Raw genomic sequence first — 25,881 nt, forward strand, 5'->3', positions numbered from 1 at the left:
ATTTATGCTTCTGCCTTGAGGGCAGAATACCTATAAGAATTGTTTGCAATCTCTCTCAGTCCCTTCAGGCTGCTATGAGAAGATGCCTTAGACTGGAGACTTTCTAAATAATAGAAATCTCTTTCTCAAAGTTCTGGAGTCTGGGAAGTCAAAGATCAAGGTGTCAGTGGATGTGGTATCTGCTGAGGGCTGCTCTCTGCTTCCAAGGTGGTGCTTTCTTGCAGTAACCTCAGTTGACTGAAGGCATGAACACTGTCCTCATATGGCAGACAGCGCAAATCTGCTTCCTGCAATCTCTGGTATAAGGGCATTAATTGCATTCTTGAGGATGACGCCCTCATGACTTAAGATTTTCCCACAAGATCCCACCTCTTAACGCTATCACATGGAAATTAAGTTTGAATATATGAGATGGGGGAACAACATTCTGAACACAGCAGAATCCTTATGCATGGGATATTTGTCTATTCCCCCCCCCAGTTCTTTATTCAGTCATTTACTTACATCAGCATGGACTCCTAGAGATTTAATATATACATTGGGTAGTAATCCAGTACCACTTGGTTTTGTTGCTAGATAGTTCTCACTTCGGCCATTTTCTTTTTCTGTACATTTTACACACGCGTTGTTCTTTCATCCACTGATGTATTCATCCAACAAGCACTGATTGAGATGATCCCAAGCTACCATAACTGATCCACTCCTACCTGCCTTCCCCTCCAACTTTCCCTGACCAGCACTCTCTTTCCTCCCTGCTTTCCTGGCCCCACCATTTCCAGGGAACATCTTGTAATTCCTGGGATTAAAATCTGCCCTCTACAAAATGTCTCAGGGTCAAAACTCATCATCAACCCACCATGGCTAGACCAGAAGGATTCAGGGGTCTGGTCGTGCCTCCAAGGGCCCTGACCACCTATAGGAAGTGCACAGAGAGAAGGAAAGAGGGATGACCCCAGCTTTATTCACCAGCTTTATTCTTGGCCATGCTGAGAGCTGCCCCTAGCAATAGAGGAGCAGTATGACTGGCTGGAAGGCATAAAGCAGCAGACATGGGGAGAAGTTCAGTGAAAGGCGGCAGAGCAACACAGCAGGGCTGAGGTGCCCAGGCCCAGAGACAGACCCTGTAGCTGGTGGCCCCTTTCAAGGCCTGGCTGCCCCTCCTCCCCTGGTCTGCAGAGCCCGCCCTCCCAGGCCGACCATTTCCCCAGCAAGACATTGACTTCCTCAATTTTACCAGCTGAGAGACACTGGGAACCTGGGGCAGAATCAGACCCAGCGTCTGACTCCTCCTGAGAGGGCTCCCTTTTTTCTCCTCTCCTCCGCTGTCAGAAACAGATCTGGGCTGGAATGGCCTGGGGTGGGGTCCACACCTGCTGCTTCCACCTGTGCTGCTGCTGCTCCTGGCCTCAGGTGACATGGAGGGAAAGAGTGCAGGGGGTGTAAGGAGTGGGATGAAGAATGAGTGGGGCAGGGAGCAGCATGGCTGTGTGACCATAGGACAGAATTTAGGGGCCCTCTTCCATGTGTGGGCATCAGAACTAGTTCCCCCTCCCCTTCCCCAGCCTGTGATGGGGGAGGTTGGGTCCCTTCAGAGCTCTGACCTGGGTTTCTTTCTGCCGGTTCCTGGGTAAAGGGTGCTGTGCCTGAAGAACTTCACAAACACCCAGGACAGACCCTCCTCCTGCAATGCCAGTACTCACCCAAGAGAGGGCCCTATCAGCCCAAATCCTGGTGTCAGCAGACATCTCCAAGTCGGTGTACCTTACTTGTCACCAGCTCCAAGCCCTGGACAGCAGTTCAGAAGTCTCATTACACAATCTGGGACAAGCCCAATGCTGGCTTCTTCAACATCACCATGATTCAGCTGACACAGAATGACTCGGGATTCTACTGGTGTGGAATCTACAACGCTTCCGAAAACATCATCACTGTTCTTAGAAATATCAGCCTGGTGGTGTCTCCAGGTGAGCTCTTTTCTTGAGGAAATACCTCTGTGCCACCCCCCAGGGACCTGAAGGAAATGTCATGCACCCCCTCCCATGCCTCTATCATCCCCCATCCTGCCAGGTATTCTGCTGTGGTCCAAGGGGAGCAAAGATCCTGTCCCCAAACATGGACTCTCACCTCTCCTCCACCCGGTACATCCTGGCCTCAATTGTTGGGAAGGTACCCTCAGAGGTCCCTGGACAGAGACACAGTCTGTCTGTCACTCTGCGTCTCTCTTTGTCTTACACAGGCACACCCACAACTCTTCTTTTCACACACACACTAACACACACACACCAACAACTCTGTCATGCAGATCTTAGGCACAGACCACTCCTGGCTTAAGACATCCTGAGGGTCTGGCTCTGGGCCCCTACCTCCTCTTATGTATGGGGTAGACCCTACTCTCTTCTGGGCCCCTGGAGAGTCATTGTCTGCTGTCTTTTCTCTTTAGCCCCAACCACGTCTCCTATGTGGACTCTTCCCTGGCTCCCAACAAGCACAGGTAGGTTGGAGGCCTCGGTGGGGGAAGATTAGAAGGGTCACCAGGCAGCTTGGGAGCCTCAGATTCAGGGAAGGGGAAACCAGGGAGGCCTGCCTCTGAGGACTGATCTCTTGGGGCCTGGGCTTGTGGGAAGCTACCTTCAGGGCCCACTGTCTCTTAGGGAGAGAAACATGCACTATCTGATGTGATCAGAAGATCGCCATGTTCTCACGATGATGGGAGGGTGTCCCCAGAGGGAAGTCCATATGGAACACCTTGCACACGTGTGTCCCAGCCCTCCTGCCCCTGTCCTCCCGCCAGCATGGAGAGGACAGTGCCAGACTTGACTTCAGCTGGTTATGGAGATCTCAGGCCTCAGTTACCCTTAGCCTGAGGGACCCTTAGGGGCTGCCTCTGGCCCCTCTCCCCTTCCTCTCACACTTTTGGGACCCAATCCCATTCTCTATTCTGGTGCCCTGGGCAGCCACTGTCTTCTTTGTGTCCTCTTTAGTTCTGATCACTTCTCCAGAGGGGACCTCTGGCCATCCCTCCATCAATGGCTCTGAGACCAGGTAGGTCAGAGGTTTTAACACTGGGAGGGAGGTCTTGGGAAGGGAGGGCCTGATTAGCTCCTGAACCTTGGAATCAAGTCCAGGGCACCCAGGGATCCTTCTCTGGTGGGTTGGGGCATAGGTTACAGCCGTGGAGCCCCCAGGCCATGACTCAAAATTTGGTAGTGAGGAAAGGGGAAGAGGATGCAGGTTGTTAATTGTGGAGGAACCATGGAAAAGACAGTTCAACATGGATTTCTGCAATAAAACAAAATGGAACCCAGAAAATGTGGAAATTGGAGGCCGTGTTGGTGTGTTGAGGGGTGAGTATGAATAGAGTCACTGCAGCCTGGGGCAGATGGTGGCTGGAGATGTCAGCCAGAGAAAGATGAGAGGCATACTGTTAAATTCTGCTTCTATTCTTGCAGTCATGGGTTTTGAGGCCATGACGGCCTCCCCTTCACTGGAGGAATAGGCTGCAATAGACTAGGTCACAGGTGCTCTAGGGGACCATGGAGCACAGCAAAAGACATGAGCGATTGATGAAAATAGACAACTAACTGCCAGAGCATTTGCTCCGTAGCCCTCTTCTCCTGCAAACTCCAGCACGGGTAGATTACAAACAGACTATCTCTCAGGGAGTTTGAAGGTGAAACCCTAACCAGAGAAAAAGTATGGCAGCTAATGGGGGTCCCTGGGGTCTTGTGCTCTAGGGCAGTGATCCCCAAGCCTGTTAGAAATTGGGCCATAAAGTAGGGAGTGAGTGGTGAGCCACTGAAGTTCATTTGAATTACAGCCTCTTTCCATAGCTTGCATTACTGCCTGAGCTCTGCCTCCTGTCAAATCAGTGGCAGCATTGGATTCTCATAGTAGCATGAGCCCTGTTGTGAACTGTGCATGCGAGGGTTCTAGGTTGCACGCTCCTTATGATAATTGAATGGCTAATGATCTGTCACTGTCTCCCATCACTCCCAGATGGGACCACCCAGTTGTAGGAAATCAAGTTCAGGGCTCCCACAGATTCTACATTATGTTGAGTTGTATAATTATTTCATTATATATTACAACATGATAATAATAGAAATAAAGTGCACAATAAATATAATGTGCTTTAATCATCCTGAAACCATCCCCGACTCTCAGGTCCATGGAAAATTTGTCTTCCACAAAACAGTTCTCAGGCGCCAAAAAGGTTGGGGACTGTTGCTTTAGGGCTTTTTCCTCTCATTTTTAACCCTCAATGGCTAGAGGATTTAGTCTTCGGTTCTTCCCCATTACCAGATCCGTATCTAATATGCCCAGTGGAATCTGAATTCACAAGCCAAAATACCTAGGCTCTTAGTAGAAGCACTACCTTAAAAGAATGGAAACACACCCAACAATAGAAACCTGTGAAGCAGAACTATGGGAACTGCCCATTCCCCAGGAACTCTAGGTACCTATGATCAGTCTGGCTAAAGGGGTGAGGGGAGACGTCAACTATGTGGATCATGAGGACGATCCATTGGAAAAAAGAGCCAAATGCTGATCATAGTTGTGAAAAATATTATAGACCACAATATATGTGATGAAGGATGGCTGTGGCTGGCCAGTGAGCTGTAAGAAGAGTGAGGAATTCTCATGGAAGGTCCTGGAAAGAACTGGAGATTTAAAAATCAAAGAGAAGTTAGGAGACACGAAGGAGAAGAGTAGGTGTACTAATGTATGAGTATCAAGAACTCCTGTGGGAGATAAAGGATGAAAGAAAGAAATATTTGGAGAAAGAATCCAGGAAATTTTTTCAAAATTATAGAAGAAAAGACCTCAAATTGAAAAGATTCATACATTGCCAAATAGGGGAAAACAGCCAACACACACACAAAAATACCTCTAGACCCATTATGTAAAAGGGAAGAACTTAAAAAGCAGAGGGAAATGTCTGCACGCTTTCAGATCACCTACAAAGTGATAAGAATTAGACTTCTTAAGAAGAACACTAGAGAAAAGAAGACAATTCAGTAATATTTCTAAAGTACTAAAGAAAAACTTTGTATCCAGTGTTTTGTATTCAGCCAAATTGTCACTCCAATGTGAAATCATAAAACCTCTGGATTCTCAAGGCCTCAGAAGGTTTGCCACATGCAAACATCCCCACTGAAAACACTCCTGGAGGAAGGACTCAGCTAGGATGAAAAGTAAACCCTGGAGACGCTGCTAGAAGTGAGGGAGTAAGTGTGCCCAGCATCTTGGGAAAGTTTGTTTTTATCTTTTTTGATTTATAGGAATGGCAGCTAAGAGCAAAATGAAGAACAAGAGAAAATACATTCATGGTCATTGAAAAATAACATTCTAGACTAGCAGTCCCCAACCTTTATGGCACCAGAGACTGGCTTCGCAGAAGACAATTTTTCCATGGACTTGGAGGTAGGGGATGGTTTCAGGATGACTCAAGCGCATAACATTTACTGTGCATTTTATTTATTTATTTATATTATTATTACATTTTAATATATAATGAAATAATTATACAACTCACCATAATGTAGAGTCTATGGGAGCTCTGAGCTTGTTTTCCTGCAACTAGACAGTCTTATCTGGGGGTGATGGGAGACAGTGGCAGATGATCAGGCATTTGATTTTCCTAAGGAACGTGCAATCTAGAACCCTCGCATGCCCCATTCATAATAGGGTTCATGCTACTACGAGAATCTAAAGCCACCACTGATCTAACAGGAAGCGAAGCTCAGGCAGTGATGGGTGCGATGGGGAGTGGCTGTAAATACTAAGAAGCCTTACTTGCTCACCAGCCACTCCCCTCCCGCTGTGCAGCCAGATTCCTAACAGGCCAGGAACTGGTACTGGTCTGTGACTCAGGGGTTGGGGACCCCTGTTCTAGACAATAACAACATGGGGTGAGAAGGAGAGACCAGAAGCCCATGAAAGAATGGTTGGGTACTTGTCTCATGAGAGGCAATATGTAGATATTGATAAGCTCAATGTAGCAATTGTACTAAATCAATGTAGATAAGAGTCTTCAGGTTAAGTCAAGAGAATGTATACCCTTTCATCCAGCAAAATAAAACTCTAGCCAAAGGAAAGTCGGAATCGAATTTTTAAAAAATAAAGCACAATAAATGGAAAAAATGAAATAAAAAGGTAGAATCAAGTCCTAAAATAAATGCAATTCCAATAAATTTAAGTGGATTAAACTCACAAAATAAGGACAGGGACACTCTGAGTTTTAAAAAGTGCAATGTTATACTATCTATAAGAGATAAACATACAAAAGATTTTAAAAGGTTAAAAGTTAGAAAAATATATTTGACTATTAGGAAACAAAATAAACTCTTCTGGCACTCTTAATATGGAACAAAATAGAATTTAAGGTAAAATATTATGTCTATAACATTTGTTTATAAAAAAGACAAAGATATGTAATATATACTGATGAAAGATGCACTTGAATATGAAAATAGACCCATCATAAACGTATATGTGCTTAAATTTTGGCCATGAAATATATCAAGCAACACTATCAGAAATGCAAGGAGAAATAAATTATTAGCCATTGTAGTTGGAGGTTCACATACCTCTCAGAGGATCAAAGACCAATGAGACAAAACTAAATAGAGGGGTTTAAGTTTTAAGCCAAATAACTAATAAATTCCAGTATAATACCATCACATATTTATCAATGTTACATATTTTATTAGGTATTTATAATAATATAGGATACATATAAACTATGCTTTTAAATATATAATATTTTCAAATATATAAAATATGTAGTTACAGATTGAAAAATGTTCTAAACTATATAAATATAGTTCTAAACTATATAAATATAAAACATGTATATTATGTATGTTTTATAAAATACAGTATTCATAAATATAAATAGTGTATAAGTACACATATATATGTTTATAACCCTCTACATAATAAAAACAGATAGTATAGATTCTTTCAAATACATGAAATGTATTTACAAAAGGACACCTTGTATAAGGACATATAAGAAGCGTGAAGAAATTCTAAAGAATCAGTACGACACAGAATATATTCTCCAAACCTAACGCAATGACATTAGGAATGCATAAGAGAAATAAAATAGCACTTTTCAAACTATTTACTAATACATTCATATATGAATGTTTAAGTATGCAATAAAATATATTTTGATAATATGACCACTATATATCAAAAAGTATGAGGCATAAAATATTAGGGAGTAATTAGTACCTTTGAATATATTTGTTGGAAAACATGAAAGATTTCAAATTAATGAGCTAAGGAAGCATCTCAAGAAGATGGAACACGAGCATCAGAGCAAACCCAAAGAATCATATAATTGAATGATTGAAAAAGGAGATCAAAGAAATTCATAATTCATTCTTTAAAAGTTTGCTAAGATAGACATGTTCTTGTCAAGACAAAAGAAGATAATAAATAAACAAATCAAAGAAAAAGAAGAAAATAACCACACACTGATTCTACAGAGATTTTAAAATAAATAAATCCTGAATAAAATCTTGTTGTTTTAAATCCTAGAAGCACACAATTTCCTAACAATATGAACTGCTAAGATTAACACAAGAAGAAACAGATTTCAATAGATTAATAAATAGGAAAACTGAAACAGTTGATAAGACCCATCCTCACAGAAAATTCAAGACTCATGTGGTTTTCAGGTAACCCAATTTTTAAAGAAACATTTACATTTCATGATTTATATTTCATACTAGATGTTGCAGAAAATAGAAAAGAAGCAAAAACAGCCCAGGTCATTTGAACAGGTTAGTGTCATCAAAATCTCAGAACTAATTAAAGGAGATACAAAAAAATTAAATTATAGGTTCATTTCTCTGATGCACATGGGGTCCATTCCCTAATTACCATTAGCTAACTGAATTCAAGAGTGCATTGAAAAGAAGACTGATTATAATCGAGGAGAGTCTTATCACAAAACAAAAAGGATTTTTCAACTTTAGAAAATCTATTAATATAAGTAAACCAAATTCATAAACTACAGGAAAAAAGTCAACTGCTGCACAAAAAGCATTTGGGGACCTTGAGCACATTTATGTTATCTGAAAAAGCTCTTAATAAAATGGAAGTAAGAACAGATAACTTGGTAAAGATTGTACACCAATGATTACCATAAAGATTACTTATTGGAGGTATAAACTCAAATTAAGGATTTTCATAGCTACCATAAATGTCTTCTAAAATATTAGAGATTCTGATCAATGCTTGAAGGAAAGGAAAACAGGTTACATGAAAGAAGATTAGACAAGAAGAGGAAAAACTGTCATGACTTGCAATTGATGGGATCATCTACCCAGAAAAAGAATGAGAAACAACAAACTATTAGATCTCACAAGAGAGTTTAGCAAGGCTGCCAGATACAAAATCAACTGACATACATTACAAATAGATTTCTATGAGGAATAATCATTTAGAAAAATAAGATCGTTTTCATTACAGTCACAAAGTCTATAAAGTTTCTAGAAAGAATTAATTTAACCAAGACCTGTTTGGAGAAAAGTATAAAATGCTAAAAAATGACAGGTGATCTGAATAAATAGAAACAATCCATGACTTTGGAAGAGGCAATAACATTGTAAATATGTCAATTTCTCCCAAATTAAAAAGTCTTTAAATGTAATCCCAAACACAACTTCTTTACTTTTGTAAAGAACTTGAAAAATTTACTCTAAAATTATATGAAAAAGGAAGATACATGAGTAGCTAAGTCAACCATGAAAAAGTGAAAATAAAAAGAGCTCACTGACTTTATCATATATTATGTAATACTGAGGCAGAAAGTTACCAAGGCCACAAGAGAAAAGCAGATTTGCTGGGACAGGGTAGTCCTAGATCAGAGCTAGGCAGGCCAGGAGTGGGGGCTACACAGAGGGGATGAGGGAGGACCCCTGGGACCAACAGACAGGAGGTCTAGGTCTGTGCTGTCACCACTCCTAAGGGTCTGGTCAGGTCCTGTGCAGTCTCTAGGCCTCATTTCCTCAGATGTGATATCTTGGCTGGTCTTGAAGATGCACTGGGCTCTGATTCCTAAGGTCGGATGGTCCCATCCGACCTGACCTGGTTAGGGAGAATTCCTGCTCCCCCAGCTCTATCCCTCCCCTTCCCTGAACTCCAATCCCTTGTTCTTCCCCTGGCCAGCTTTTTCCTCCGTTCAAGACTTTGAGGTTCCTTCTGACTAGGTCCCCTCTCAGTCCCAGAGACCTCTGTGGCTCCTGCCCCACACCCCTCTGTCATCGTTCAGGGTGGGCCCTTACGCAAACAGCTCCAGCTACAAGGGGCCTGCCTGGCTTAGGGACACCGCAGGAGGTGGTGACATCCTGGCCCAAGTCCATCCTCCTTTCTCCTTCTTCCCTGCAGGAAATCAAGAGCCCCTGCCTGCCTTGGCTCAGGTGGCCCCAGATTCCTGGTCTTGGTGCTATGTGGACTCCTCCTGGCCAAGGGCCTGATGTTGTGAGTCCTGTTAGTGCTCCTGATCTGCAGGTGCCACAGGTGAGGGGGCCTGGATTTCACCTGGGGGCAATGGAGCTGGGGCCAGATTCTGTTCCTAGAAAGATGGCTAGGAAGAAGCAGCCAGGTCACAGAGGCAGGAAAAATGACAGCTGGGAACAATTTAAAAGTGTGTTTCCTTGCAATCTCTGCCTTCCTGCAGACACAGACCTTAGAAAGAGACAGAGGCTTTCTGGGAGTCCCATCCCAGGGCTCTGCCTCTGTCTCTGTCCTGAGAGGAAAAAGACCAGGAGGACAAAGCTGAGAGTGCCTGGGTAGAAGGTTTAGGAGACAGGAAGGGGCAGGGAAGGAAGCAGGTGACAGGGAGAAGGCGGGGGAGGGGCGGGAAGAGGAGTAACAGGTAACAGGGACAGGGTGAGACAAAGGATCAGAAAAGCATCACTTCCATTCATGACTTTCCCCCTCTTGCCCCATCTCAGGACAGCAGTGACGAGGTTTCTGATTGTCCCAGCACAGCCTTGTCCCAGGACCCTTGGGTGCATGAGCCACAACATGGATCCTGGATGAATCCCAGTTCTTCCCCTGCCCAGCTATTGGGAGCTGGCCTAAGTATTGCTCCCCACCTCCTTGTGAGGAAAGGCTAGCGCTAAGCCTATTGGAGAGAACTTTCAGCCCCTGAACTCCCCGGTGGTGACCCCTCACCCCTGCACTGAGCCCCCTTAGATCTACTGCCCCTGCCCTGACTTTCGCCATTGGGAAGACCTGGGGTGGGGGTTTCTGCATCCGGGTCAATGCCCAGCTCAGCATCTTCAGCTGTGCCCAGGCTCCTCTCCAGCACTCTGTCGTTCTCTGAGCCCCACCTCAGCAGGTCTCCAGGATCCCTCACATTTCCCCTGTTTGTTGCCTGTGGTCTGCCCTAGAGTCCTATGAATTTCCTCTTGTGCTTAATTAAATTCAACCTCTGAACTGAAATGTGTCAGGGGCAGCTGAGCAAGACAGCAGTTGTATCCCCTCACCTTCCTCCCGTCCCACCCCAGATATCCTAAATGAGAGAGAAATGACTTAAAAATAAATGATAAAATTGAAACTAAGAAAGGCTGTAATCAGCAGACTGGAAGCTGAGGAAGATCTAGAAGTAAAAGAAAAAATTAGATGCGTTAAAATGACATGAGCAGGCGACTCAGTGGCCCAAAACAGGACCCAGAACATTCATCCGTAAATGGAATCTGATAATCTGGGGCCCAAATTCTGTTTACTTAACATGTGAGAAGATTCACAGCCTAAAAGAGAAAATCAAGTTGAACTAACAATAAATGATGGTGGGTGAAAGATAAATGTTTTAGGGAACAGAAGAGGAGCACATATTTATGAAGCAAGAATAGGTACAGTCATTTTCCAACTAACATCTAGTGAGACTGGGATTCACCACTCAGAATGGGGGTCCACCATGAGCAACAGATTTGAGGTACCAGTGCATAGCAGCTGAATGCCAGCCCTGTAAAAGACCACCATAAAGAGAGCTCCATGTTCTTTTGCTCTTTTGGGGATGGGACATCAAACAAAAGTCTCTTCGTGTATATCTCAGCTCCTGCCACATGATCATCACCTATCTGTGAGAGGCATCGCTTTTGCTTTGTTTATTTATTTTTTTAATCCTCATTCCCTATGTCCACTTGCCTTCCTCTCCGAGGCAACTACTCTAATGCATTTGGTATGTAACTTTAAATTTGAATGTATTCTTGTAAAACATCCAGTATTTTTTTTTCTGTGACTATGTTTTCACTTACATAAAAGAAATTGTGATAGACCTTTTTCATATGCTTGTCTTACTCCTTGCTGGGCACATATACACAGCCCACTTCTTTTCAGTGCTTATTCCATTGCGTACATATCCCACAGTGCATCATTCCGAACCCAGGGTGCATGTGCTTTTTTGCCTTCACTTTTCTATATCATAAATGATGCTGTGATGAATACCCTCCTTCACGTTCTCTTGTGGAATCATGTGAGACTTCCTTTAGGACTTATACACAGGTGGCATCAGCTGGGTTGTGGGATCTCAGACATCTAATTAATACTGCCAGCTTGTGTTGCCTGAACCAAGAATCTAGACACTAGCGATTATGTGTTTTCTCTGAGTCTATGTGAAGTACACAGCACAACCTATGGAATGGTATTGCCAATTAAAAAAAAAATGGAAGGCAAGAATAAACGTAGCTGAGTGATGCTACATGGGGCTAGATATATGATTATCTCTACTTTTGTGTATGCTTGGAAATTTTCATAATTAAAATGGTACCTAAAATTAAACACTTGTGTCTTGAAGCCACTGCTATTTGGTTTTCAGTCGTATGTGGCTGAACCCAGTTCTTTCTTATTGAACTTTTACAACTGCAGTAGGTTGGGAAAAGTTGACTTGTCGTATGGAAATATTGAGCTTCACTTAAAGAACATTGATAGTGGGATAAAAATGGACTAAATAAAAATAAGTCTTCCTTAATCAGATGCTAAGAGCTTAGCATTTAGCTATAACTTTTAAATATTTTATCTTAACATCCTTGGCCTCAAAATTGTCATAATTCCCTTAACCACAATTTTCAAGCAGGTGGTAAATTCTGTGTCATAAGTTAACATCTAAAAAATGTAGCTTTCTTTAAAATTTTGAACATTTCTTATTGTTTTCTTACCTTCATAGTGTTGCTATGGAAATGTCTGATAATAATCTGATAGTTATTCATCTCTACTGACCAATTTTATCTCTGGAACATTTTATAATTTTCTTTTTGAAATTTGTATTATAATGGGTGTAATGTGGGGTAATTATCCATTTTTTCCTTTTTTTTTTTTTTTTTTCTTTTTGGGCGAAAGAGGGGGAAAAGAGTCAGGGGGTGGTTGGGAAGCCCGGCGACAAAAGGGGGAAAGAGGGAGGGAGCAGGAAGCCAAAAGCCTATATCACCCGGTATTCCCAGGCGGAATCCCATCCAAGTACTAACCAGGCCGACCCTGCCTGGGGCGTGCCTCGGGCACTTTCAGGGTGGTATGACCCTAGAGGCCAGCAGTGGCGCCTGGCTGCCCCAACAGCCCGCGGTGCTGCAGCGGCAGACCTCCACGAAGAGGTCCCGGGCTCCCGCGGGGGCGCAGGCGAGCGGAAAAGTGGGAGAAGAGTCAAGAGGTGGTTGGGAAGCCCGGCGGCGACAAAATGAGTAAAGAGGGAGGGAGCAGGAAGCCAAAGCTTGATTATACATTCTATTTGGAACTCTCTGAACACATTCAGTCTGATGTCTTACATATTTGTTTAATTCGGAAAAATCCTTGGTATTATTTTTTCAAGAAGTTCTTCTACTCCATTTACTCCTTTTTCTCCTTTGAGGACTTCTTTGAGGAGATATTGACATTTGTTTCTATCCTCCATACCTCTTAATGTTTCCCTTACACTTTCTATCACTTTATTCCTTCCTAATGCCTTTAGGAAGTGCTCCTTGACTCTTTCCCTTACCTACTCATTCTTCTGCTAGTCATTGCATTCAGAGTTTTCTTTCAGCAATGATCATTTTCTTAATCAATATTTCTAATTTTTTCTTCTTCATTATTGCTTGCTTCTGTTTTATGCTTCTAATATTGTTCCTTATTGCTCTGAGAATATCTGCTATGCTTATTGAAATCATTGTTTTCCCACTGGTTCTGCTTTCTCTGTAATAGATTATTCAATTTATTTCTTTATAAGAAATTTGTTCTATTTGTTATCTTTTTATAGCATTTGGTAATTTTTCTTGTATTCTCATCTTTTATTCCCTTCCCACCCCTTTTTTTTGAGGATCAGTTAATTACTGCAGATTTCACTGCCTAAGGAAGCCCCAGAGGTAAATAGAGTTGATGAGTTTGCCATAAACCATCCAAATATAGAGATACTATATCACAAAGATAGCCATTCACATCAGTGAGTTTATTTAACAATGAAAACAGCATATGTGGCCGGGTGCGGTGGCTCACGCTTGTAATCCCAGCACTTTGGGAGGCTGAGGCAGGCAGATCACAAGGTCAGGAGATCGAGACCATCCTGGCTAACATGGTGAAACCCCGTCTCTACTAAAAATGCAAAAAAAATTAGCCAGGCGTGGTGGTGGGTGCCTCTAGTCCCAGCTACTTGGGAGGCTGAGGCAGGAGAATGGAGTGAACCCGGGAGGTGGAGGTTGCAGTGAGCCAAGATCGCGCCACTGCACTCCAGCCTGGGTGACAGAGCGAGACTCCGTCTCAAAAAAAAAAAAAACAAACAAACAAAAAAAGAAAAAAGCATATGTTTAACTATTTGGAAAAAATTAAATGTTACCCTCTTTTCATACTATAATCTAAAATAAATTTTAAATAGATCAAAGAATTAAGTGTTAAATGAGAAAATTTTAAAGAACTAAAAGAAATAACTCTATAAGGATTCAATTCTAGTAAGGACAGGCATAAGTAACCAATATAAGTGAGACAGAAATCATAGAGGGAAAAGGCTGAGAGATTTTCCAAAATTAAAATTTTAAAACTAATCTGTGTCCAAAGTAAGTCATCAAGAAAACGAACAAGAAAAGAACAAACTCAAAAGAGTTTTTTGGAATTAAACTAGAAATCAGTAGCAGAATAACAAAAGGATATTTGGAAACAAAAAACTACAATAACCAAAATTAAAACCTCACTAGATGGACACCATAGGATAGTAGAAATGAGAGGATATAATTAGTGAACTAGAAGACAGAACAATAAATTTACCCAGACTGAACAGACAGAAAACAGACTGAAAATAAATGAACAAAACCTCAGCTATCTGTGGGACATTACTAGAAGAGCTAACTTTTGCATCACCAGTGTCCCAGAAGCAAAGGAGAAAAAGTGTGGGACTAAAAAATTATTCAAAGAAATGTCTAAGCTCCTCAAATTTGGTCAAAGACATAAAGTTACTGATCCAAGAAAGATTTTGGGGATGATGGCACCCTTCTCTCTTGATTATGGCATTGGATACAAGTCTCCGGAACTCTCAGAACTGTTTATTAAAAAGGGTGAATAGTACTGTATGTAAATTAGACCTTAATTTTCTAATGGGAAAAATAAATGTAAAGACAAAATACACTGCTGTATTAAATCAAATGATGGATGTAAAAGTCTAATGTATACATATTTTTAATGACTTTGACCAATGCTTCCAAATTTCTCTTAAAAAAGTTTGAATCCAGTACATACTTCCTCGATCAGTGAGTGAGTGTTTGATTCCTTCTACCCTCATCAGCACAGTGATCCCAAGGGTCACAGTTTTAATGATCCCTGGCACAGTGCTGGGCACACTGTATCGGTTTCATAGAATCATGGATTGCAAGCACACGAAGCCCCCGAAGCAACTTACTGTTCTAATGGGGGAAGGGATGAACGAACATACTGTGTGTGCTGGGGAGGGGAGATGGCCCCTGAACTCAGGGAGCTCAGGAAGTTCTAAGGACTGGGTGGGAAACATTGAAAAAGGAAGGGTGAATAAGGAAAACAAAACACATCTGTGAGCTGAGAGGTCTCAAGTGACAATCGTGTCTCATTCCTATGCCCCCAGTGCCTACCTAGCCCCATGCATAGCAATGAGGTTGTGGGAATGAACAAATGAATGAATGAATGAGTGAGTGAATGAGTTGAGAGACTATAAAAGCTTAGGGTCAGCCGAGATAGACTTCTTTGCTTGGAGCTTGGGGGTTCAAGGTCAGTTTAAGATTCTGGCCATGCAAGCCTGAGGACTTTTTGCTCTGAGACCTGTTAAAATTAATGAAAATGGAGACCAGGCCTGAAGAGTCCCTGAGCAGACAAAACCAGTTAGGCCTCATAAGTAACCTCAACTTTGCTTGATTTGCAAACATCAGTGAAACTTCACTTGAGCTATTTCTTGTAAATGTGTGTATTAAGGAAGAACAGAACTTAAGCTCAACCAATCAGAAGCCAACAAACTTATGTAGGTAACTAGGGTCTTTCCAACAGGATAGGCCAAATAAGGGAACTTTATAACTGTAACTAATTAAATATTTTCTTCAGTTTACTTGTCCTGTAGGAGTCTTCCCCTTGCATTCCCCCAGTGGAGCTCCTCAACCTCTTCTGTTTGGAGCTGCCTGATTCATGAATTGTTGTTTGCTCAAATAATCTGTTTAAAATTTTATTGTACCTCAGTTTACTTTTTGACAGTCCCATCTAAGGAGTAGAAACATGGCACTGGTGAGTAGGGGGAGCATACATAACCACGGGCGTCCAGCTGGGTCCCCACACACTGAAGGAGGAGATGACACAGATACTGGACATCAGAAATCAATGCTTCTGATTCTAGGCCTTGGGGTAAGTGAAGGATGTGGTCTTGGGCCAAGTGCTGGGTCATTTCCACTGGAGATGGAAGCAGCACAGGCGAGACAGGGTTGAGCAGGGGGAAGTTGAAGGGGCTTGCCTGAATGCTGACGGAGGCTGGAGGCAGGGGAGGAAGGGGCTCTTGAGATGAGGTGGGTGAGGGAAAGCACTGTGGTGGCTTTAGGAAGCCTGCACGAGGAGCTAGGAGTCTAGAGGGAGCTGGTGATGAGTAGAGACAACAGGAGGAGAGGCAGGGAGAGGGACAGAGGAGACACATGGATAGGGAAAAGGAGAGGCGGCTGGAGGGTGTGTGAGACTGTGTGCATGGGCGTGTGTGTGTGTGTGTGTGTGTGTGTGTGTATGAGAGAGAAAGCAAGACTATGTGTGTGAGTGTGAGTGTATGTGCACTCACACCCATGTGTGAGAGTACAGGAACCCCTCCCACAACCCAAACTTTATGGGAAACCAAACAGATTTCAAGTAAGCCTGTAAGAGGTTATTTACAAGAGGGAACACAAGTGACTGTTCTGAGCAGATAGAAGCCTGGGAGAGAAAGAGAGGCAGGAACAGAAAGAATCCATCTGCAATAAATGAATGAATTAGAGTTTATAAGAATTTCTTTGTGAATGTGTGTATGTAAGAAACTAGAGTTCAACTCCACCCCAAATCAACAGAATATACATTCTTCTCAGCACCACATTGCACTTATTCCAAAATTGACCACATAGTTGGAAGTAAAGCACTCCTCAGCAAATGTAAAAGAACAGAAATTATAACAAACTGTCTCTCAGACCACAGTGCAATCAAACTAGAACTCAGGATTAAGAAACTCACTCAAAACTGCTCAATTACATGGAAACTGAACAACCTGCTCCTGAATGACTACTGGGTACATAATGAAATGAAGGCAGAAATAAAGATGTTCTTTGAAACCAATGAGAACAAAGACACAACATACCAGAATCTCTGGGACACATTCAAAGCAGTGTGTAGAGGGAAATTTATAGCACTAAATGCCCACAAGAGAAAGCAGGAAAGATCTAAAATTGACACCCTAACATAACAATTAAAAGAATTAGAGAAGCAAAAGCAAACACCTTCAAAAGCCAGCAGAAGTCAAGAAATAACTAAGATCAGGGCAGAACTGAAGGAGATAGAGACACAAAAAACCCTTCAAAAAATCAGTGAATCCAGGAGCTGGTTTTTTGAAAAGATCAACAAAATTGATAGACTGCTAGCAAGACTAATAAACAAGGAAAGAGAGAAGAATCAAATAGACACAATAAAAAATGATAAAAGGGATATCACCACCGATCCCACAGAAATACAAACTACCATCAGAGAATACTATAAACACCTCTACGCAAATAAACTAGAAAATCTAGAAGAAATGGATAAATTCCTGGACACATACACCGCCCCAAGACTAAACCAGGAAGAAGTTGAATCTCTGAATAGACCAATAATAGATTCTGAAATTGAGGCAATAATTAATAGCCTATCAACCAAAAGCAGTCCAGGACCAGACGGATTCACAGCCGAATTCTACCAGAGGTACAAAGAGGAGCTGGTACCATTCCTTCTGAAACTATTCCAATCAATGGAAAAAGAGGGAATCCTCCCTAATTCATTTTATGAGGCCAACATCATCCTGATACCAAAGCCTGGCAGAGACACAACGAAAAAAGAAAATTTAAGACCAATATCCCTGATGAACATCAATGCAAAAATCCTCAATAAAATACTGGCAAACCAAATCCAGCAGCACATCAAAAAGCTTATCCACCACGATCAAGTTGGCTTCATCCCTGGGATGCCAGGCTTGTTCAATATACACAAATCAATAAACATAATCCATCATATAAACAGAACCAACGACAAAAACCACATGATTATCTCAATAGATGCAGAAAAGGCCTTCGACAAAATTCAACAGCCGTTCATGCTAAAAACTCTCAATAAACTAGGTATTGATGGGACGCATCTCAAAATAATAAGAGCTATTTATGACAAACCCACAGCCAATATCATACTGAATGGGCAAAAACTGGAAGCATTCCCTTTGAAAACTGGCACAAGACAGGGATGCCCTCTCTCACCACTCCTTTTCAACATAGTGTTGGAAGTTCTGGCCAGGGCAATCAGGCAGGAGAAGGAAATAAAGGGTATTCAGTTAGGAAAAGAGGAAGTCAAATTGTCTCTGTTTGCAGATGACATGAGCGTATATTTAGAAAACCCCATCATCTCAGCCCAAAATCTCCTTAAGCTGATAAGCAACTTCAGCAAAGTCTCAGGATACAAAATCAATCTGCAAAAATCACAAGCAATCTTATACACCAATAACAGACAAACAGAGAGCCAAATCATGAGTAAACTCCCATTCACAATTGCTTCAAAGAGAATAAAATACCTAGGAATCCAACTTACAAGGGACGTGAAGGACCTCTTCAAGGAGAACTACAAACCACTGCTCAACGAAATAAAAGAGGACACAAACAAATGGAAGAACATTCCATGCTCATGGACAGGAAGGGTCAATATTGTGAAAATGGTCATACTGCCCAAGGTAATTTATAAATTCAATACCATCCCCATCAAGCTACCAATGACTTTCTTCACAGAATTGGAAAAAACTACTTTAAAGTTCATATGGGACCAAAAAAGAGCCCGCATTGCCAAGACAATCCTAAGCCAAAAGAACAAAGTTGGAGGCATCACGCTACCTAACTTCAAACTATACCACAAGGCTATGGTAACCAAAACAGCATGGTACTGGTACCAAAACAGAGATACAGATCAATGGAAGAGAATAGAGCCCTCGGAAATAATACCACACATCTACAACCATCTGATCCTTGACAAACCTGACAAAAACAAGAAATGGGGAAAGGATTCCCTATTTAATAAATGGTGCTGGGAAAACTGGCTAGCCATATCTAGAAAGCTGAAACTGGATCCCTTTCTTACACCTTATACAAAAATTAATTCAAGATGGATTAAAGACTTACATGTTAGACCTAAAACCATAAAAACCCTGGAAGAAAACCTAGGCAATACCATTTAGGACATAGGCATGGGCAAGGACTTCATGACTAAAACACCAAAAGCAATGGCAACAAAAGCCAGAACTGACAAATGGGATCTACTTAAACTAAAGAGCTTCTGCACAGTAAAAGAAACTACCATCAGAGTGAACAGGCAACCTACAGAATGTGAGAAAATTTTTGCAATCTCTCCATCTGACAAAGGGCTAATATACAGAATCTACAAGAACTTAAACAAATTTACAAGAAAAAATCAAACAACTCCATAAAAAGTGGGCAAAGGATATGAACAGATATTTCTCAAAAGAAGACATTTATGCAGCCAACAGACACGAAAAAATGCTTATCACCACTGGCCATCAGAGAAATGCAAATCAAAACCACAATGAGATACCATCTCACACCTGTTACAATGGCGATCATTAAAAAGTCAGGAAACAGTAGGTGCTGGAGAGGATGTGGAGAAATAGGAATGCTTTTACACTGTTGGTGGGACTATAAACTAGTTCAACCATTGTGGAAGACAGTGTGGCGATTCCTCAAGGATCTAGAACTAGAAATACCATTTGACCCAGCCATCCCATTACTGGGCATATACCCAAAGGACTATAAATCATGCTGCTATGAAGACACATGCACACGTATGTTTATTGCGGCACTATTCACAATAGCAAAGACTTTGAACCAACCCAAATGTCCATCAATGATAGACTGGATTAAGAAAATGTGGCACATATACACCATGGAATACTATGCAGCCATTAAAAAGGATGAGTTCATGTCCTCTGTAGGGACATGGATGAAGCTGGAAACCATCATTCTCAGCAAACTATCGCAAGGACAGAAAACCAAACACCGCATGTTCTCACTCACAGGTGGGAATTGAACAATGAGAACACTTGGACACAGGGTGAGGAACATCATACACTGGGGCCTGCTGTGGGGTGAGGGGGAGTGGGGAGGGATGGCATTAGGAGATATACCTAATGTAAATGATGAGTTAGCGGGTGCAGCACACCAACATGGCGCATGTATACATATATAACAAACCTGCAGGTTGTGCACATGTACCCTAGAACTTAAAGTACAATAATAAAAAGAAAGAAAGAAAGAAACTGGAGTTCAAGATTCCCACCGATTCCCACCTCATTCTGAGAGCCCGCACCCCTGGGACTCTGAGCCCAGAAGATTCCAGGAAAGTCTATACCTGACGTTCCAGAAGCCTCACCTTCCTGGATCCTAGGGATCAGTTTCTGGGGCGGGTTGGGGATGACGGGAAGCCCTCTGACTGTGAGCCCTCCCTGGGCTGGGGGTCCAGACTGGGTAGAGCAGCCACACCTGCCTGAATTTCCGAGGAAAGGGGCAGAAACAGCTGCCAGTGCTGCTCTCGCGATAGGCTTGATGAACCCCTGCAGTCGGTTGGGGATGGTGGGTCCCATACTGCCTAACTTCCCTAATTGGGTAGCTTCACTTTTAGAACCCCAGGTCCTTCCCTGGCAGGCCCAGGTGGCACGTCCTGTGTGGGGTGGGCCCTCACCCTGGATCCCCCGGGTGCCCTGGCCCCTTGCTGGGCCTGTGACTGCCCAGCTGGATGGAGCCATGGCTGCTGCGTTCCTGCTGCTGTTGCTGCTGTGGCCACAGGGCCGCATCTCAGGGAGGGGAGAAGGGGCTGCCTTGTGGAGGAGGGAGTGGGTACATAAGCAGGAGCTCTAGATCTTTATCAAAAACCACCCTTCTTGCTTTTCTGGCCCAATTGTCTTGTTTAGTTTTTTGTGGGTTCAGTGAGGAAGAGGTTGGGGCTGACTTCGTAGCTCTTTACCAGAGACCACTGGGCATGGTGGGGGTTGGCAAAACTCACTCCCTACTGCCTGTGAAAGGGGTGGGAGGTGTAGGCACACATGAACACAGTGCCCTGGAGACCCATCCCAAAGTCACCCAACTCTGCACCTCCCAGGGTCAGAGAGGTTCCTCCCTCTGCCACAGCAAAAAAGGGTCTCTCCTGTGCTAAGAAATTCTGGGCTCATCCACCATGCAATGGAGTTGGATCATTCTGCTTAGTTTACAAAGAACAGAGTGATGCTCAGAGAGGGTGCTGCCTCACGCAGAGCCTCAGCTCTAGTGGCTGCTGGCAACTGGACAGATGTCCTGGGTTCTGGGCCCTTGACTATCACAGCTCTGGGTTCCACTGGAGGATCTGGGAGCCCCCAGCGTGTGGGAAAATACAGCATGCATTGAGCACGCACTGTGTGAAAAGCACTGACCTGGGGCAGAATTCTCACAGCAACCTGTGAGGGATGTGGTGCTATTCTCACTTGACTGATGCAAAGACAGAGATTTTAGGTGCCCCGATCACACCGTTAAGTGGTAGAAACAAGGTTTTGACCCGTGTTTATTTTGATCCAAAATGTGTGCTCTCTATTCTGTACTATGGGGGAGAGTCTTTTTATGTGTGGTTTTGTGGGAGACTCTGGGGTGAAATTATCAGAAGAGTCAGCTGAGCTTAGGGCAGGCAGAGGGGTGGAGGGAGCCCACGGCAGCTTTCTCCCTCTCTCTGTCCCCTGAGTCACCTTGCACACCCCAGTTCTGCTCTCTCTCTACCAGACTGTGGATTATGAAGGCTTGGACCACATCTTACTCCTCAGCATAGAGAGAAAGATATTGCAGGTGGAAAGTGAATAATTGTAGAATCCTGTGGTTCATACTCCATTGGGAGTTTGTTTACATGTACATTTGGACAGGCTTGATCTATGGGTTTTATGTAACTAGAATACTTTAAAACTAAACACCAGCTAGAATGAACTAAGGTAGGTTATTATTTAAAGAGGACTACAGTGAACCTATTTGTGAAATAAATAACTATTAATCATTTTTTCAAACACTGGATTTTCTTATCTACCTAATTAGTTGGGCACTGAAATTTCAGAACTTAATGACCTGTGTTTGTGTCTCTGCATCTTTCTCACTGGGTTTTTCCCACAAGAATGTCACTCTCCCATCAGACTAGAAAATACCATGAGGAAAGGGGCTGTGTCTGATGGAGCTCCAAGTGTAAGTGCTGCATTTCCTCCATTAGACTGGGGGCTCACTGTGGGATATACCTGCCTCCTCCATCAGACTGAAAGCTCCCTGAGAGGGGGACCTCTGTCTGCCCCCTAATACTGGGAGCTAGCTGTTTTCAGGGCCCATTTACCTCCCTTCAGACTGGGGCAAGCTCCCTGAGGGTGGGGCTGTATTTCCCCCTCAATCTGTGGGTTCCATGACAGCAGGACAATATCCACCCCGCCCTTCACCATGATCTTCAACTTTCATGATGTCTTCTTCCTCTCCTCTTGCCAGACCTTATTCAACAAGTCTTGTCTCCACAGGCCCCTCTGCTGGGAGCGCATACACAAAAGTGAGGCTCCTTGAAAGGGGGACTCTGTCTGTGCAGTGCTTCTGTAAGGGCTACAAAAACCGCATGGAGGGCAAGGTTTGGTGCAAAATCAGGAAGAAGTGTGAGCCTGGTTTCACCCAAGTCTGGGTGAAAGGGCCCCGCTACTTGCTGCAGGACGACGCCCAGGCCAAGGTGGTCAACATCACCATGGTGGCCCTCAAGCTCCAGGACTCAGGCCGATACTGGTGCATGCGCAACACCTCTGGGATCCTGTACCCCTTGATGGGCTTCCAGCTGGATGTGTCTCCAGGTGAGCGGGCTGCAGGGGCACTGGGACGGGTGGAGGGAGTCCTCCCTGCCCCACACTCCACTAACATCAGAGATAATAAGGATAATAATCCATCAATGGTCATGTTGCACTGTAGTGTTTTCAAAGTGCCTTTATGGCACTATTCGTGGCACTATTGTCACCATTTTACAGATGAAGATAATGAGACCTGAAAACCCAGTGTGACTCTGAGCTTGTCCGGGGTCCCAGAGCTAGCAGGTGGCTGAGATAAAGTTCAAACTTGGCACTGTCTGTGCTGTGTTTTATTCACTCATTGCTTCAACATAATTCACTGAGCCCGTATTATGTGGCAGGCACTATTCTAGGCTCTAAGGAGACAGTAGTGAGCAAAAACAGACACAATCTTGCTCTATAATAATTGCAAATAACAAATTTTTGTAAGAAAAAACAACACTTGTAAACAGGAAAGTTAACTCAGTAATGCGGGAGCTGTGGAAATACTGAGGATCAGAAAACACCTCCCTGAGCAGATGACACCAAGCAGACCCCTGAATGGTGAGCATTCTCCAGCTCTGTTGAAATCTGGGTGCTTTGAAGGGCACTTTGTGGCAAGGGCTGCATGTGCAAAGGTCCTGAGGTCAGAAGGTGCTTGGCTTGTACAAGAAAGACTTATTTGGCTAGGTGCAATGGCTCACGCCTGTAATCCCAGCATTTTGGGAGGCTGAGGCAGGTGGATCACCTGAGGTCCGAAGTTTGAGACCAGCCTGGCCAACATGGTTGAAACCCTGTCTCTACTAAAAATACAAAAATTAGCTGAGTGTGGTGGCATGTACTTGTAATCCCAGATACTTGGGAGGCTGATGCAGGAGAATTGCTTGAACCTGGGAGGCAGAGGTTGCAGTGAGCCAAGATTGCACCATTGCACTCCAACCTGGGCAGCAGAGTGAGACCCTGTCTCAAAAAAAAATAAAAAGCAAAGAAAAAAATGCTTATTTAGTAACTCCATATTGAGTGCAGGACAGTGATTGATGAGGCTGGGAGTCAAGCAGCCCTGAAGCCTATGAGATGAAGTTTGGGTGATTCTAAGTACAAGAGGAAGCTACTGGAGAGCTAAGAGAGGTGTGTCACAGCTTATTTTTAAGTATGTAGTGGCCACTTGTCGAGGATGGTCTAGGGAGGGTATGAGCATGGGCATGGAGGCCATTGTGAGCACAGTGGACAGAGTTGCTTCCCAGCCTGGAGGGCGAGGCAACCTCTGTAAAACACCAGTACTAGCCCTCCCAACATTTACAGGTGGAAAGCTGGTGCGGGAAAATATCAGCCAATACATGTGCCATAGTAGGGGACAGTCCCAGGACAGCGGCCTGGGACCCTCGATACTTCATCCAAGATGATCGCTTCTATGGCGTCTTCACCGTCACCATGACTGAGCTCAGAGTAGAGGCCTTGGGATTCCATGGGTGTGGAATCTCTAAATCCCCTGAGATCTCTATTGTCAGAATCATCTGCCTGGTGGTATCTCAAGGTGAGTTCTGTCCCTTCGTATTTGTGGGTCTCAGACTTCCTGAATCACAAGGTGTTAGAGCTGGAGAGGATCCTAGAAATCTTCTCCTTCCACCTTCTCATCACTGAAAACTGGGGACATGGAGAAGAAAAGCCCCTGGCCTAAGGTCACCTGCTGCTGAAGGGCAGAGCCAGCCCCAGAATGCAGGCCTGCTGGCTTTTGGTTCTTCCTTCCACATCGTACGTATCGCCCTTAACATTTTTGCTGCTACTAACAGGACTCCTCCATTTATTTGGAATGAGTTTAAAGTTTCCCCATGCTTGAGCACAAAGGGCTTAATGGTCCATTCCAGACATCCCTACCCTTGACTCTAACTGCCAGCATCTTCTCAAAGGGCTGTAGTCAAGAAAGATCACTGAGTAATGGGGTGGGGGGATAAATGTGACATAGGAGATAGCCAAACAATGAGGCTGACATGAGACTTAGGGGGTGAGGCTGGGAGGTGTAGTAGCCAGGGGCTCAGGGGACCTGGATCCTCTCCCTGGACCTGCCCTTATCAGTTGAGAGTCATTAAGCTTCAAAATGAGAAGCTAGGGGTCACCACTAATCCTAAGGCCCCTGGGCATTCCCCCTGAAATTAGAGTTGCCAAGCTCTCCTGCCTTTTTCTGTGATGGTTAGAAACAGTGGTGCTTTTTCCCTGCTGCTGAGTGTGCCCAGCCACTTGGTCAAATGGGCATCTGGAGGACCCCAATAAGCTTCTCTTTCTTCACTGCCCAAGCTTTGGCTCACTGCCCATTCCCTGGAGGGCACAGGGCTAAGCTAGGCCCTGGATGGGGACTCAAAAGCCTTGAGATCCCATCCGGAGCTGGAGGAGCCCACAGTTGGGCCAGAGAAACAGCATGTGATGAAGGGTTATGACGTAAGGTGGTAGGTGGCATTAGAGAAATATGGTGGACGGAAGAATAATGAAAGACAGAAAGGAGGGAGAAGGTTTAAATTCCTAGCACCAGGGGAATTCTAAGCTTGAGGAAAACAAGGTGCATATGGAATACATTAATAAAAGATAACTTATAAGGCAATATGCCACAGGCATAGGTGAATGCAAGGTAGAATGAATGATATAAAGTAAAATAATCAAGGATTTATTCTTGAAGTTGGGGACATATGGATTGGTGAAGAATAGCAGGCAAGTGCAGTTCCAATAAAGTGAATAGCCTGAATATTTCTTTTTTCTTCCTTCTTTCTGCCTTTCCTCCCTCCCTCCTTTCCTCCTTTCCTTCTTCCTGACTCTAACCTAGGCTGATCACACAGTATTCTTAGGTTATAGCAAAAGAAAACCCTGCTTCTTGGCCATGTCCATTTCCTTCCTTAGCTCCATTTACCCTAACACCTACCCATTCACCCACTCATCCATCTTTTCATCTACTTATTCTTCCTACATCCTGTCCATTCCTCCACTCATCCATCTATTTATCCACCTACCCATCCACTCACTTCCAAATAGTTTATCCGTTAAATCACCCACTTATCCATCCATCCATTCATCCAATGTTCTTTTCACAGGTCTCTTAGGTACCCCTGCCTCCAATGTTAATCCTACCCAGAACATGCCTCAGATTCCCACAGTTCTTCCTACCACCACTAAGGCCCTGAGCCCACTGTATGCCAGCCCAAGAACCATGACCCAGCCTTCACCCAAGTCAACTGCTGATGTCTCCACTCCTGGCCCACAGTCAACAATAAAAATGTGACAAATGTCATCAACTATGATTTCCCAGCCTCTGAGCCCCGGGTTTGGACATCAAGCTCTTTGTTCCCCAGTTCGTG

At 43.6% G+C, this 25,881-nt stretch overlaps 1 protein-coding gene and 2 pseudogenes across 2 annotated transcripts, besides 2 other annotated features; 2 read left to right on the forward strand and 1 right to left on the reverse strand.

The window, feature by feature from the left end:
* Positions 1-1,268: 1,268 nt before the first annotated feature.
* Positions 1,269-11,802, forward strand: TREML4 (triggering receptor expressed on myeloid cells like 4). The gene is made up of 6 exons (NM_198153.3): positions 1,269-1,410; positions 1,634-1,964; positions 2,441-2,491; positions 2,982-3,042; positions 9,406-9,537; positions 9,975-11,802. Exons 1-5 carry the CDS (start codon positions 1,348-1,350, stop codon positions 9,500-9,502), a joined length of 603 nt encoding a protein of 200 aa, NP_937796.1. The 5' UTR covers positions 1,269-1,347; the 3' UTR covers positions 9,503-9,537; positions 9,975-11,802.
* Positions 12,046-12,582: an enhancer, noted in NCBI's record as "H3K4me1 hESC enhancer chr6:41206864-41207400 (GRCh37/hg19 assembly coordinates)". NCBI's record gives its function as "activates a minimal SCP1, AML or CMV promoter by ChIP-STARR-seq in primed H9 embryonic stem cells {active_cell/tissue: H9 hESC(primed)}" and the evidence as "EXISTENCE:reporter gene assay evidence [ECO:0000049][PMID:30033119]".
* Positions 12,440-12,546, reverse strand: RNA5SP207 (RNA, 5S ribosomal pseudogene 207; annotated as a pseudogene).
* Positions 12,583-13,117: an enhancer, noted in NCBI's record as "H3K4me1 hESC enhancer chr6:41207401-41207935 (GRCh37/hg19 assembly coordinates)". NCBI's record gives its function as "activates a minimal SCP1, AML or CMV promoter by ChIP-STARR-seq in primed H9 embryonic stem cells {active_cell/tissue: H9 hESC(primed)}" and the evidence as "EXISTENCE:reporter gene assay evidence [ECO:0000049][PMID:30033119]".
* On the forward strand, positions 22,297-22,509 carry TREML5P (triggering receptor expressed on myeloid cells like 5, pseudogene; annotated as a pseudogene). The gene has a single exon (NR_002794.1). The product of NR_002794.1 is annotated as a triggering receptor expressed on myeloid cells like 5, pseudogene (transcript).
* The last annotated feature ends 3,372 nt before the right edge of the window (positions 22,510-25,881 follow it).

The sequence above is a fragment of the Homo sapiens genome, chromosome 6 (assembly GCF_000001405.40).
Source record: "Homo sapiens chromosome 6, GRCh38.p14 Primary Assembly".
Classification (NCBI taxonomy): domain Eukaryota; kingdom Metazoa; phylum Chordata; class Mammalia; order Primates; family Hominidae; genus Homo; species Homo sapiens.

Excerpts from the sequence above, each read along its gene's own strand:
- TREML4 (NM_198153.3), top strand. The coding sequence starts at position 1,348 with ATGGCCTGGGGTGGGGTCCACACCTGCTGCTTCCACCTGTGCTGCTGC. Across the intron at positions 1,411-1,633 it reads GCTGCTGCTCCTGGCCTCAG|GGTGCTGTGCCTGAAGAACT; the intron begins GTGACATGGAGG and ends TCCTGGGTAAAG. Across the intron at positions 2,492-2,981 it reads CTGGCTCCCAACAAGCACAG|TTCTGATCACTTCTCCAGAG; the intron begins GTAGGTTGGAGG and ends TGTCCTCTTTAG.